This window comes from Homo sapiens, chromosome 8 (genome assembly GCF_000001405.40).
Source record: "Homo sapiens chromosome 8, GRCh38.p14 Primary Assembly".
In the NCBI taxonomy this organism is placed as follows: Eukaryota; Metazoa; Chordata; class Mammalia; order Primates; family Hominidae; genus Homo; species Homo sapiens.
In genome coordinates this window covers 9,919,128-9,932,836 of record NC_000008.11, presented here as the reverse complement: position 1 = coordinate 9,932,836, position 13,709 = coordinate 9,919,128, and the positions used below count along the sequence as shown (strand labels likewise).

Below are 13,709 nucleotides of genomic sequence, written 5' to 3'. Positions count from 1 at the left end.
TATGCCACCACCCACGTCCGGTATTCTTCCTTTCTATCATCAAGGGCTTGCGAGAGAGGCGAAGGGAACCTCGCCTCAGCCATGAGCTATGTCCTTCCCTCTGAGCAGGCTCTGGAATTCTCCACTGCAGAGCTCCTGGCTGCTACCCCCTGGCTCTCTGATGCCTTGGGCAGCATCCTCCCATGCAGACACATAGTCAGTTTCACAGTGGAAACAGCCCAGTGCTCTTATTTTACAGGACCTGGTGAGACAGAGTGGCCTTCCCAAGGGTACACAGTGAGCTCCTGAGTTCCTCTCTCCCTCTCTACCAGTGCACAGACACTTTGTCGGTCGGTGGACAATGGCCTGGCCCTTGGCAAATGCTGGAAGGTGGAAGCTGTATTGAGGTCTGGCAGCCTCCGCTGTCTGTGTTCTCTTCTCCTCTCACCCCAGTGCTGGTCTTTCCTCTTTCAGCCTTCCCAGAGCCATGATGTACTCAGTGATTCATCAGTGATTGCATTTGTCCAAGCAGACAAAACCCTTATTTGACTCCAGACTCCAGGGGAGGAGGCGCTGGCATAGAATTGCAGTCATCAGGGAGCTAAGTAGAAAGATATTTTGCAGAGGAGGATCATCTCATCCAAACTCTAATACGTGCTTTTTCTAAAGAGCTTTCAACTTTTTAAACCCACAGGACAGAGCAGAGTCCAAAGCCAGCGAGAGGAAACGACTGGCCCAGGATCTCTCTGGGAGTCAGGGCTGTAGGAATCCAGGTATTCTGATTCCCAGTTCTCCATCTACAGATTTTCTCTTCCCTCCATTATCAATATATCTTGAGCAGAGAAGAGCCGCATAAACAAGGAAAATTTCCGTCAGGTTTTGCCTGGATCTTTCTAGCTCGAAGTAAGCCTGACATATGGATGCTTATTCTCACTCCTACCTCGAACCTCATCATCAGAGGCTGCCAGAGTGAACTTACAGCAAGAGATAAAAAAAAAAAAAAAAAAAAAAAAACAGTCTTTAAAACAGGCCAGGTCCTTTTGTGGTTCATAAGCATGATGATTGGGTTTTCAGGCGATTGTGTGAGATGTGCCTCATTGAAACCTTGTTACGATGTCTGCCCATTACCCATCTGATGGGAAGAAAAAGAAAAAAGGCCAGGGACAGCAGCTCACGCCTGTAATCCCAGCATCTTGGGAGGGTGTGGCAGGAGGATCAGTTGAACCCAGGAGTTTGAGACCAGCCTGGGCAATATAGCGAGACCCCATCTTTAAAAAAAAAAAAAAATTAGCCTGGTGTGGTGCACACACCTGTAGGTGGGAGGATCACTTGAGCCTGGGAGGTTGAGAGTATAGTGAGTTATATTTGTGCCACTGAACTGCAGCCTGGGCAACAAAGCTCGACCCTGTCTCAGAAAAAACAAACAAACAAACAAACAAACAAACAAAACAGGCCACAATGATTTCTATGTGTTGAGCATCTAATATGTGCCAAGCACTTCCAAGTATCCATCCTCTGGCATAATCTACACAACAATCCTGCAACATCGGCTCAGAGACCACAAAGCCAGGAAGGATCAAAGCTGGCATTTACACTGAGCACTGCATGACACCAGAGCCCACGTTTTTTGCTCCTTAAAATCTTAGCTGCAGTGGGCAATGTCAAAATGGAGAAAAAGGCCTTCAGGGAGATGACCCTCTTGTTCCTCAGAGGCTGCCAACTCCAAAGGAGTCCCTTCCATCCCACATTTCTGGGTTAGGTTTTCCACAGCTTCTGTTGCCATGGTATTAGGGGCTCTTATCACCATTTGAAAGCCCAGAAGAGGAAAATAAGAGGTTCAGCTCTTTGATTCAAGAGGTGACCAGTTCAGTGGCTGAGCATGGTGGCTCACACCTATAATCCCAGCGCTTTGGGAGGCCAAGGCAGGCGGATCACCTGGGGTCAGGAGTTCAAGACCAGCCTGGACAACGTGGTGAAACCTTGTCTCTACTAAAAATACAAAAATTAGCCAGGCGAGGTGGTGGCCACCTATAATCCCAGCTATTGGGGAGGATGAGGCAGGAGAATAGCTTGAACCTGGGAGGCGGAGGTTGCAGTGAGCCGAGAGCCGAGATCATGCCACTGAATTCCAGCCTGGGTAACAGAGGGAAACTCTGTCTCAAAAAAAAAAAAAAAAGAGCTGACCCCGACCAGTTCTTTTAAAAGATCAACTCGATCTGGTCTTTGAATGAGGATTAGAAATTAGAGACAGATGATGGCATTTGCAGGCCTCGAAGTTATTCAGCTTCTTGCTCTAAGAAGTTCTGTTTACTTTTCAGACATGATCTCATTCTCCTCCCCAGGATCATAGTGGGAGAGCAGAGAGGGGACAGGGACAGTTCTCTGTAGGGTCAGACAAGGAGTGAGGCTGATGCCTCCACCCCTGTGGCAGAACCTGCTCCCTCTCTTCTCTTCTCCTGCCTGGCGTGAAAGCTAAGGCTATCACACCACTGGCACTGTTACAGGTAAGTTGGAATTTACATGAGAGCCATGGTTTGCCCCATCAAGTTTAAAAGATCAAGAAAAAGGGTCAGGTGTGGTAGCTCATGCCTGTAATCCCAACACTTTGGGAGGCAGAGGTAGGTAGATCACTTGAGGTTAGGAGATCAAAACTAGCCTGGCCAACATGATGAAACCCCGTCTCTACTAAAAATACAAAAAATTAGCCAAGTGTAGTGGCAGGCACCTGTAGTCCCAGCTACTTGGGAGATTGAGGTAAGAGAATCGCTTGAACCCAGGAGGCAGAGGTTGCAGTGAACTGGAATCTTTCCACTGCATTCTAGGTGAGGCAACAGAGTAAGACCTTGTCTAAAAAAATAAAGAAAGAAACAAATAAGCCCCCAGGTCTCTAGACTATTAGAGCTGAGAAGGACATCCCTGTTCTAAGTTTATCCTCCTACCCAACACCCACCTGGCATCTTCCACAGGGGCAAACAGTAGCCCACAGAGATGAAGCGAATGGAAGGGAAGGAGTTTCTGTTCAAAACAGCCTCTAGGTATCATGTCCCCCTTTCCTGCTCCAGTGAGGAACATTTTCCATGCCCCTTATAAGATGCTCAGCGTATGCTTTGTTTCATCATTCTCTCATTTGATTTTCTCCATACTGTGGTCTGTGTCCCTCCAAAACTTCTGTTGAAATCGTAACCCCCACGGTGATGGCATTAGTAGGTGGGGTCTTTGGGAGGTGATTAGGTCACGAGGGTGGAGTCTTCAGAGTGGGATTAGTGTCCTTATAAAGGAAACTACAGAGAGCTCATTCACCCCTTTTGCCAGTAGGGATACAGCAAGAAGAATTTGCCATCCATGAGCCAGAAAATGGGCCCTCACCAGACACCAAATCTATCTTGAGCTTGGACTTCACAGCCTCCAGAACTGTGAGAAATAAATTTCTGCTGTTCTTCAGCTAAGCTGCTTATGGTCTGTTCGTCAATTTCCCCATCTGTCACATCTCCATTGGTTACAGCCGCCCAAATGGACTAAGACCCTGTGTGACGCTGCTTGCTCTTAGCACAATGATACAGTGAAAAGAAAACGCCCTTTGGAATCAGACAGACTTGGGTTTAAAGCTCAGCTCTCCTTGCATTGAATAGCTGTGTGATTTTAGCAAGTTATTTAATATTTCCTCAAACTCAGGGCTGAGAACAGTCTGGACAGGCCCATTTTAAATCCAACACTCTCTGGTTCTCTGTCCTAGATTACTTAAAATAAGGTACTGGAGGACTCCGACTCTTTGCTTTGTGTGTTGATATTCTAGTACTTGTATTTCAAATGTTTTTAACATTCAGCTTTGAATTCCATGTCTCAAATTTACCACGTTTTTATACTTAGAAACTGTGGTTTACATCACATTGACCAGTTCTCAATACAGAGGGATCTGTTGGGAGTTCTGAAACAGAGACACGTACCAATTTCCAACTTGGCCAGACCACTCAAAGATGAAAGGAGAAGAGACAGAGCTCTTGCTTATGGAGCATGCTTTTTAGTAATCAGCTTCCCATTTTGTAGGTAAGGCCAAGGATGTCAAACGGTGTTTGTTTAGGCATCTGTGAATTAGCACTCCCAGCTCTTAGCCCAAACTGCAGAGGAAAATTCATTTGGAATTTCCAGTAGTCCCAGCCTTTGGCAGCATATAAATTAAAAAGAAAGAAATGGCCTGGGGGTGCAATTCTAGAACATCCTAGCACAATCAGTACACTCAAAAATTGAGCACAGTAGACACTATTTATTTATTTATTTATTTACTTATTATTTTTTGAGACAGAGTCTTGCTCTGTCGCCCAGGCTGGAGGGAGGGGCACGATCTCAGCTCACTGCAACCTCTGCCTCCCAGGTTCAAGTGATTCTCCTGCCTTAGCCTCCTGAGTAGCTGGGATTACAGGCATGCGCCACAACGCCCAGCTAATTTTTGTATTTTAAGTAGAGATGGGGCTCCACCATGTTGGCCAGGCTGGTTTCAAACTCCTGACATCAGGTGATCCATCCACCTCGGCCTCCCAAAGTGCTGGGATTACAGGCATAAGCCACCGCACCCAGCCTAGACACTATTTAATAAGAATTCATCCAATACTTTATTCATATGTTTAGACTAAACGCTCTACTTACCTGTTGTCAGAATCACTCTCAAACTGGTAGGGTTTGGAGAGCTAAGTAACATTCTAATAATTCAGCAGCTGTAAGTTTTCACACTTAAAACCTTTGGTGCCCAACAGGCCTGAGTTAAAATCCCTGAGCAGGCCGGGCGTGGTAGTTTCATCGTTAAAAGTAACTTTATTCTTGTTTATATCATGGACTTCCCCAACCCTGAAGGAGAAGGAAAATATCTATCCCACAAAATCTTGCACGTGGGAAGTGCTTCGCATTATTTCTGGGCTGTATGTTATTATTGGATCTATTTGAAATATGGAATTAATCTCCTTGTAGCCTCTTTTGTTCCTCAGTTTCCCCATCTGTCATTTATTTTCTAGTTTCTATCTAGTGGTGTATCAGTCACCTATCTACAGGTGTGAGGAATCAAGCAGTCTCTAAACATGGCTTCCTCCATTGTCTGTCACTCCTGTGAAGCAGGCAATACCCCAGAGTCAAGAGGAGGAAATTATTGTTCCAGCTGAGAGGTCATAAGTTAAAGAGCCTTGCATAGAACGGTAAACATGATATCCTCTCAAAATGCTCCTTGCAGGAAGACTAATAAATGTCACCCCAAGGAACCCTTTATACACAGGATCTTGGGCTTCAAAACTGGATTCCAAGGAGTTTTGAGTCCTTCTATTAAGTTGGCGCAAAAAATAATTGCTTTTAATGGCAAAAACCACAATTACTTTTTGCACCAACCTAATACTTGCCAAAGATCTCCTTCCCCGGTAGGACCTTTGTTCAATGTCACTACAGGACATCCTTCCTACCAAAGCAAAGAAAACAACACAAATCAAGCAATTAAGTTATAAAATAAGGCTTGGCACCTAGAGGAAATAGGACAATGATTAAGAAGGAATCCGAACACCTAATAGAATCCACAAACTGGCAGACTATGTCCTCAACCTACTGCCACCGAATGTCATCTGACACAAGTGGCTAAGAATGGCAGGAGTGAGTTTTCAAAATGCTGTTGGTTGAAGAAGCACCATAGATTATTTTGGGGTACTACTTGTGGGGTTCAATAGCAGGTCAAATTTGCTTTGTATCTCTGACAAATGACCTAGACCCATCTCCTGACAAGCAACTGAGTCTATCAGAATGCGTTTAGCTGCAAGTAACAGAAACCCCTGTTCAATCAATAAAGAACTTTATTAGCTCACATAACAGGAAGGCCAGTAGAAATGCAGGTTTTCAGAATTGATTGATTTGGTGGCTTGGCAGTGTCATCAAGGACTCGGGTTCTTTTCATCTCTCTTCCCTGTCATCCTCAGAGTTGGCTTTAATAATAGAATGGCAGGAATAATTCTTAGCATCTCATCCAGACCCTTCATCATCCTTTAGAGGCAAGAAAGCCTTTTCCTGAGACCTTGCAGTACTAACCACCAGCCAAGGGGAAATATACCCTTTCCCCAGTCAAAACCACTCTGGAGCTGAGGGTGAGGTCAGCTCTCCACAGGCACATGGTTACATAGGGAATGGAGGATACATGAACAAGATTGGGGTAGTGTTAAAAAAAAAAGAGGGGGGAAATAGAGTGATCATTGCACAAACCATGCTAGGACACAACGGAATGACTACTGAGCGATTAAAAGCCTGTAGGAGCATATAGGCAAGAATTGCATTGTCCTCAGACTGAGTAATGATATGGCTTACCCTCCTTTCGAGGCAACACAAGGCAGTCTGTCTTAAGAATGCTAAAGGAAAGTCAAATCATCCCAAAGATGTGACAGCAATGAGTGGAAGTGACATGAAGGGAGCTGGGGGATGGGTGGAAGCACATGACAATTACTCATACAGACCCACAGGCTTTCTGCAAGGTCCTGAGCTGTCTCCCTGCCCATGGGGAATGGCGAGGAGGGGATGTGTCACTGGCTGTTTCCAGCAACACTGTGACTGCCTGATAAACCAATGGTGTCAGTGTGAGTGTCTCTGGCTTATTAAGTTAATGGAGGAAGTAAACTTTTTTTCTGAATATGGAATGGACCAAAGCCAATCACAGGCAATAGCCAACTCAAAGTAGGATGACAAGTTTCCCTTGGAAGTGTCCTGACATCACTATCTGCAGACTCCGTGATGGGCATGATTTGACATTTTTCTAGCCCACAGTGATTAAAAGACAGAAATGCGTATTCCTTCCCATCAAAGACTTTGTAGGAACGATTATTATTAATTATTATGGCTCACTTTACAGTTAACAAAACAACTTCCCATACATGATCCTATTAATTTCATATAACTTAGGTATTTGTTGTTATCCTCCTTTGTAGTTGAGGAAACTGACACTCAAGGAAGTTAAATAACACACTCAAGATTACACAGTTGGTGAATAACTCAACCTATACCCAGAATGGCCTTTCATAGAGGTAGAACATCTACTTGTCTTTCTTGCACAATGTGTGGCATCTCTGAGGTCCTGAAGGGTTGTAGAGGCTATCTTCCACCTTGATCTGAAATTGAGCTTGACTTTCCTACTAGGAGGAACATCCCATTGAGCTAAGGCACCACGTCTCCAAATGAGTCCTACCGAAAGGTCCACATACTGCCTGGAAAATGGAAAAGAAACTGGAATCCTATTCTCTGCCAATTATACTTTAGTGGGCTGCCATGCCTTCCCTTCAATCCAGAGCTATGTAGCCAGCTCTCACATGGAAATCAGAGGGCCAGGGGTCCATGGAAAGAAACAGTTACTTAGATGTAAGGGAATGAGATCAGTTATGAGGAGAAGAAAGAGATGCTACAGGATTTTATCCTCCTTCTCGTAGGAGTGACGCAGGCTGCTGGAAAAGGAAAAGGGAGCCTTAAAACCCAAAGGATACACAAAAGGGAAATGATTCCAAGCCTGGAGGAAAACCCACAGGAATCTGAATTACACCTCTGGGTGCTGAGCCTTCCTTAAGGCCCCGAGTTTCAATCATCAGCACAGCTTGCCGAGGACATTGAATCAAACATTCAGAACTTCCCAGTCTAAACAGCGGCAGGCAGAGGTCCCAGCTTTGTCTCCAAGGGGACCCTCTGGGCGCTGTCTTCGGTACTGAAGCAGCACAGCCTGATGCCTGGAACACGCAGAGGCATCAAGGACCTTTCCAGGCTGCTCCATGCTCTGCCTCTGATTTAGCTTCAAGGTTGTAGCAATCCCTAAGCCTGGAATTCAGCTGCTTAAAAGGCAGAATTGGGACAACGTGCCTAAATCTCTACCTCTAGCTTTACTCCCATCACTGACACCAGCTTCTTGAAGGCGTAGAAAAATTTTTGAAGCTTCAAGAACTGTACCAGCCAAACTGCCAGGTCAGATAATTTGCCAATAACATTCCAAAAATCCACTTTTCTAGTCCCATTTTCCCTCTCAGTGGATCTTCCTTTCCCCATCTCAAATGCTGCTCTCTTACACTGGGCCTCTTCCACATCGCGCTTCCAACCTCCTCTTGGAAGAGGATCGGGGAGATATCTTTTATAAACCAGAGAGAATTTAAGTCAGTGTGGGCCTCCGTTTAAAACCTTACATTCAGCCAGGTGCAAGGGGTCACGCCTGTAATTCCAGCACTTTGGGAGATCGAGGCGGGAGGATCACTTGAACTCAGGAGTTCAAGACCAGCCCAGGCAACATGGCAAAACCCCATCTCTACAAAAAAAAAAAAAAATACAAAAATTAGCCAGGCTTGGTGGTACATGCCTGTGGTCCTAGCTACTTGGGAGGATCAGATGGGAGAATCACATGAGCCCAGGAGTTTGAGGCTGCAGTGAGCTATGATTACACCTCACCACTCTAGCCTGGGTGACAGAGCAAGACCCTGTCTCTAGAAAAAAGAAAAGTAAAAAATGAAAACCCTTGCGTGCCATGGAATGAAAAGTTATGCTGCCACTTGGGAAATGTATTTTGAAGGCAATAAAAAGGTATTTCTCAAGGCTTATAATGCCACACCCATGGGCAGCTTCCTATTGTCCATACACATGACCAATGTTCATTACTCTCATCATTGCACAATGTAAAGGGTTTTGGTATTATAGGGAGAAAACACATTTAATTTACTGTCAACCAAGAATATTTAGTTATTCAAGTGAAACACAAGAATGACCAAGACACAATCTCTGTTCTCAAGGCATTCCCAACTTAGTTGGGGGAATGAATGGTGGATTGCAAACTAATAACTTACCCACCAAGACATAAGCCAAGTTTCATAGGAGTCCAGTGACCTGCCTAGAGGACCTAGGCACAAATCTTGAGAAGGAATTTACTAGGTTAGCAAAAGGGGAAAGAAAAAAAGTACAAGTTTTGAGGTTAGAAGACCTAGGTTCCAATCCTAATTCTGCCAACTAGGATGTGATCTTAGGACAGTCATTTTAACTTATTTTTCTTTATCTGTAAAATGAGAATAATAATAATATCGAGTTTCCATAGAGATGAATTGAGGTAATAAAAAAACATACTTTATAAACTGCAAAGCACTATTAAATAAAAAGTTAACCATTTCTGACTGTTCAAGTGACAATGCCTAAGCTTGTATGTAAGTGCAGTGAAGGTAGGGCCAGGTCCCCCTAGCTAGTTACAGTGCCTGGCATAGCATCATGTTCTCAGGGACATGTATCAAGAGCCTTTTGATTGCAAAAGAGCTCTGACTTGGGGAAGAAAAACTACAATGTTTGTCCTCAGTGGCCAGTTCTGCCCAAGCCACCCCTGGGGTGTGGGGCAGAGAGGTGCAATGGAAAAAGGGCAGCTTTCACAGGAGGAGTTGGCCTACAACAGTAGCTCCAGATGGAATTTCAGCTGGAAGCATACAGAAGCAGCTGAGCTCAAAGAAACGACTGAGGTTTTCTGGACCTCCTCTCTGGCTAGTGGACGAGATGCATCAGAGAGAAACAGAGGACAGGTGGTGCAGGCAGAAGGTAAGGAGAAGGGATGAGTAGAAGCAAAAGAGAGGTCACGATGGAGGGTCACATTCCAAATCTTTTGCTTGGGTGGAAATTTTTAAGGAATACAACTGTCACTGTGTATCTCCCCATCCTCATGAAGAAATACTTTTTAAAAAGAAGATAACCACAGATTATTAAAGTTGGATGAGACCTTTAAAATTATCTAATCCAACATCTTCATTTCACAAATAAGATTAGGGCCAAGAGAGGTGAAGTTCAAAGTGAAAAAAAAAAATGAGTTCCTGATGAAACAGAACAAGGAGTCAAATCTGATCCACAGGTCACTTTGTTTCTCACTACTCAATAATTGAAAGAAGGTAAAGTTTGAGGTGCTGTAACAAATAAACACAACACTGTGGAGACCTAATAAATAAATAAATAAGGGTTTTTTCCCCACATTAATGTAACAGTCACAATATGAGTAGCATATTGGTTTGGATTGTCCAGGAAATAAACTAATTAGGAGACTTGCATGCTAGAGGTTTACTGGGGAGTACTCCCTGGAGCAGCAACTGGGCAGAGAGATTGTTGCAGTTGCAACAGAAGCTTCAGCCAATGCCCCATGGGGCTCTGATGTCCCTTTAGAGTTGTCTAAAACTGAGGCATGTCCAATTTAACTTAGCACTGTCCAATCATTGGATGTGGGATGCTCCTGGGGGAGGGAGTGCAAATTCTGGTGACGCAGCTCTCTTTGGCCAAGAGCAATTCCTAAAGATGAATTCAAATGTGACCCATCAGGTGCTAATGCTCCCAGAATCTGGGAGGATGAGTGCTTCAGGACTAAAGGGGAAGACCTGGGAAGCCCTACCACAGTATCAACTACAGTAGTCCAGGTTTGGGGTTGGAGATAGGACAGCAGCTTTGCTCCACATAGTGATTCAATGATCTAATCACTGTTCAACCATCCCTTAAGAATCATCATTATCCACATGTCCAAAGCTGGTCATCATCATGTCTAGGTTTATGCCATGGGAAGGAGAAATACAGCACGATAAAAACACACTACTCTATTAATAAACAGACCTGGAAATGGTTTGGATTCCATTGACAAGAACTCAGTCACATGACTACACTTAATAGCAAGGTAAGCTGGGAACTGTAGTCTTGCTAGGCAGCATGCGCCCAGCAACAGTTCTGCTGTTATCAGAGAACATACTAAGAAAGAAGGCCCTAAAGTGCCGTTTATTTTTCGGGGACTATATGGTTAAAATGATCTCTTCCTGTTTTAATTCCTCTTTTTGGAGGTGGAGAACACATACTCCTTGAGCTTCTTCTACCCTGTTATTCTTCCTGGAGCCAAATTTACTCCAGAGATAATCACTACCTCCAGTGGCCAAGCCAGACTGTTCTCTGGATGGGGGTCTTTCTTGATTGCCCTTAGAGTGACCCAGAAAACTATCAAAGAGTCCTTTAGAGACTATCACTCTATTCCAGAGAAAGCTGGGGTTCTAGATTTCTCCAGGAAAATCTGCAGGGCACAATGACTTCAAGTCTGTGTCCCCACCACCCCCGTGAATGTCATCCCAGGGTGAGCTACAGAGACTCGCCCTAGGAAGCCTGGCCTAAGTCATAATTTATGAATATTCTGTCTCTCTCTCTCCCTAAGTCTGTCTGATCATAAGCAGCATCTCTTCTGCCTCAATACCCAATATGACTTGATCCCATTTATTTCATATCAGAACACTGTAACTTAAGTGCTGTTGAAGAAAGAACTGATGTTTTCAAGATCCAGAGAGGGACTTCTGAGTCTTCCATCTAAACTCCTAGAACTGTTTTGATAGTTCTGGTTCTCTGCAACTCAGCAAAGCCCACTGAGAATACAATGTGGAAGCATTTTTCATTCTTCCGGTTTATAATCCTATGGTCATACTAAACCCCAGAAGGCATCCTTCTCCTGGGTCTCCAATCTGGAGAATGAGGAATGGGAATCTGCATTTGAGATGTTTGTAGCAGTCATGCAGGGGGCATCGCTGGAGTCAGAAATGTCTATATATGACCATGTGACCAGCCTACCCTGCCCAGGACTCCAATCACAAAATAGGAATAATCAGGCCTATTCTTTTGTGTTTTTTGGTTTTGTTTTGTAATGTTTTGTTTTGTTTTTGAGATGGAGTTTCGCTCTTTTTGCCCAGGCTGGAGTGCAATGGCACAGTCTCGACTCACTGCAACCTCCGTCTCCCGGGTTCAAGCGATTCTCCTTCCTCTGCCTCCTGGGTTCAAGTGATTCTCCTGCCTCGGCCTCTAGAGTAGCTGGGATTAGAGGCGCGTGCCACCACGCCCGGTTAATTTTGTATTTTTAGTAGAGATGGGATTTCACCATATAGGCTGGGCTGGTCTCGAACTCCTGACCTCAGGTGATCTGCCCGCCTCAGCCTCCCAAAGTGCTGGGATTACAGGCATGAGCCACCGCACCTGGCCTATTGGGCCAATTCTTATTGTGAGCACCAATGAGATCTATCCTTCCTGAAAGTGTCCTTAGAGCTGTAGGTGAGTACAGCTCTACACATGAAGAAATTCTTCCAGATATCAGCATCCTCACTTTGGTTTAGTCCATTTTGGCAACTTACAAAGCATGTTTATATCCATTAACTCAGTGGTTTTGAAAAAAAACAACAAAAAAGGTGCAGCTACCCCAGGAGATATGCAGAACCATCCATGGAAATGCAGGAAGGAAAATATCAGAGCCTACCTATAATCTAAAATATCAGAAAGGGAGTTTTATTAATATTCAATATGTGGGTTGACACTGATGACTTTTTTTGTCTGTGTGTCAGTAGCCCAAGTGTCACTTCCAGGAAACACATTATCCTGAGGGAAGAGCAAGAGTTCCACAATGTGAGAGGGGTAAACGAAGTTCCAGATTATACATACTGGTTTTAATTAAACTCACCCCCAACAAAGAGGATGCTTGGCTTAGAAAGATTCCTGCAAAGAAATCCCTAATGAAAGTGAATACTAATAACACGAGCAACCTGACAAGGTAGAACTGACAGGTCTACTCCTGGTTAGAGCTCTTTGCAACCACATTACAAGATTACAATGACGGCTTATTCAGATCCAATATGAAGTTGGCCAAAAATTTTTTAAATTATCACATGGTTAAAAATGTGATTTAATATCTACTATTATTAATAATGAACCTTACCCTAAATGTATATTAAGACTTGAGATAGTTGGCTAATGGTATAAGTGCATTATATAATTTACAAATATATAAATATACATACATTGGGGGGCAGAGTAAAATTTTTACCAATGGGGATCATAAAAAGATTTAGAGAGCATTGTCATAAGTCATCTAAACAATTCTTTTTCTAATTTATATTTTTACTTTAAGTTCTGGGGTACATATGCAGGATGTCCGGGTTATAATCACACCGTGAGTCATATTATTTTGCAGATGAGAAAACTGAACCTAAGGGTGGCAAAAATGCCCGGAGACCATCGGCTACAGGATTTATGTGGAAGCGAAGACTAGCCAATAGAACTGGTACCCCAAAAGCTGAGTGAGCAATTCAGGGAGACATCTGTGGAAATTAAAACACAAACTCCTCCCCCAAAGCTAATGAGTCCTAGGCTCTGTCCTGTTCTACTCCAAATGGATTACGCCAGGAAAGCCAGCACCACAAAGAATAGCTCATTCTATCACCCCTGAATGATGTTGCTCTGAACCCTAGAAGCCTGCAGAAATGTCACCCTTTAAGAGAAAAGCAGGCATTTGCCCTAGGATGCTTTAAAGACCCTGTCATCATCACCATCAACAAACACTTAGAAATGTTGCCTTACTATGCAGGTCTGGAGCAGGAAGAGAGATCAGAATCCCAAGCGATTCAATCTGACTGCAAAAAGGGCTCTGATCTGGGCAAAAGCCAAGGTTTCTCACATTCATCCCTTTGGGGCTTGCAATGTTTAAAAGTAAATTTCCCCCCACCACTAGTACCCACTGTGTGGAACTAGTCATGAGAAGAATGGATACCCATTTCCCTCTGCAGCAATCCGGTCTGCCTCCCGAAGCTCAGAAATGTGCTGTGCTCAGCATTTCTGTGCTGATGCAGCATCCATGGTAGAAAAGGCAGGGGCGGCCGCAGCGCCGCAGCAGCAGTTGCTCTAGGGGGTGGAAATCAGATTGCACCATTCCTACCTCATTTGGC

General features: G+C 44.2%; 1 non-coding gene across 1 annotated transcript; it reads left to right on the top strand.

Annotated features, from left to right (window-relative positions):
- The first annotated feature begins 1,013 nt into the window (after nt 1–1,013).
- Nucleotides 1,014–1,117, top strand: LOC124902082 (small nucleolar RNA U13). The gene has a single exon (XR_007061213.1). It is a non-coding gene; the product is annotated as a small nucleolar RNA U13 (small nucleolar RNA).
- Nucleotides 1,118–13,709: the final 12,592 nt, after the last annotated feature.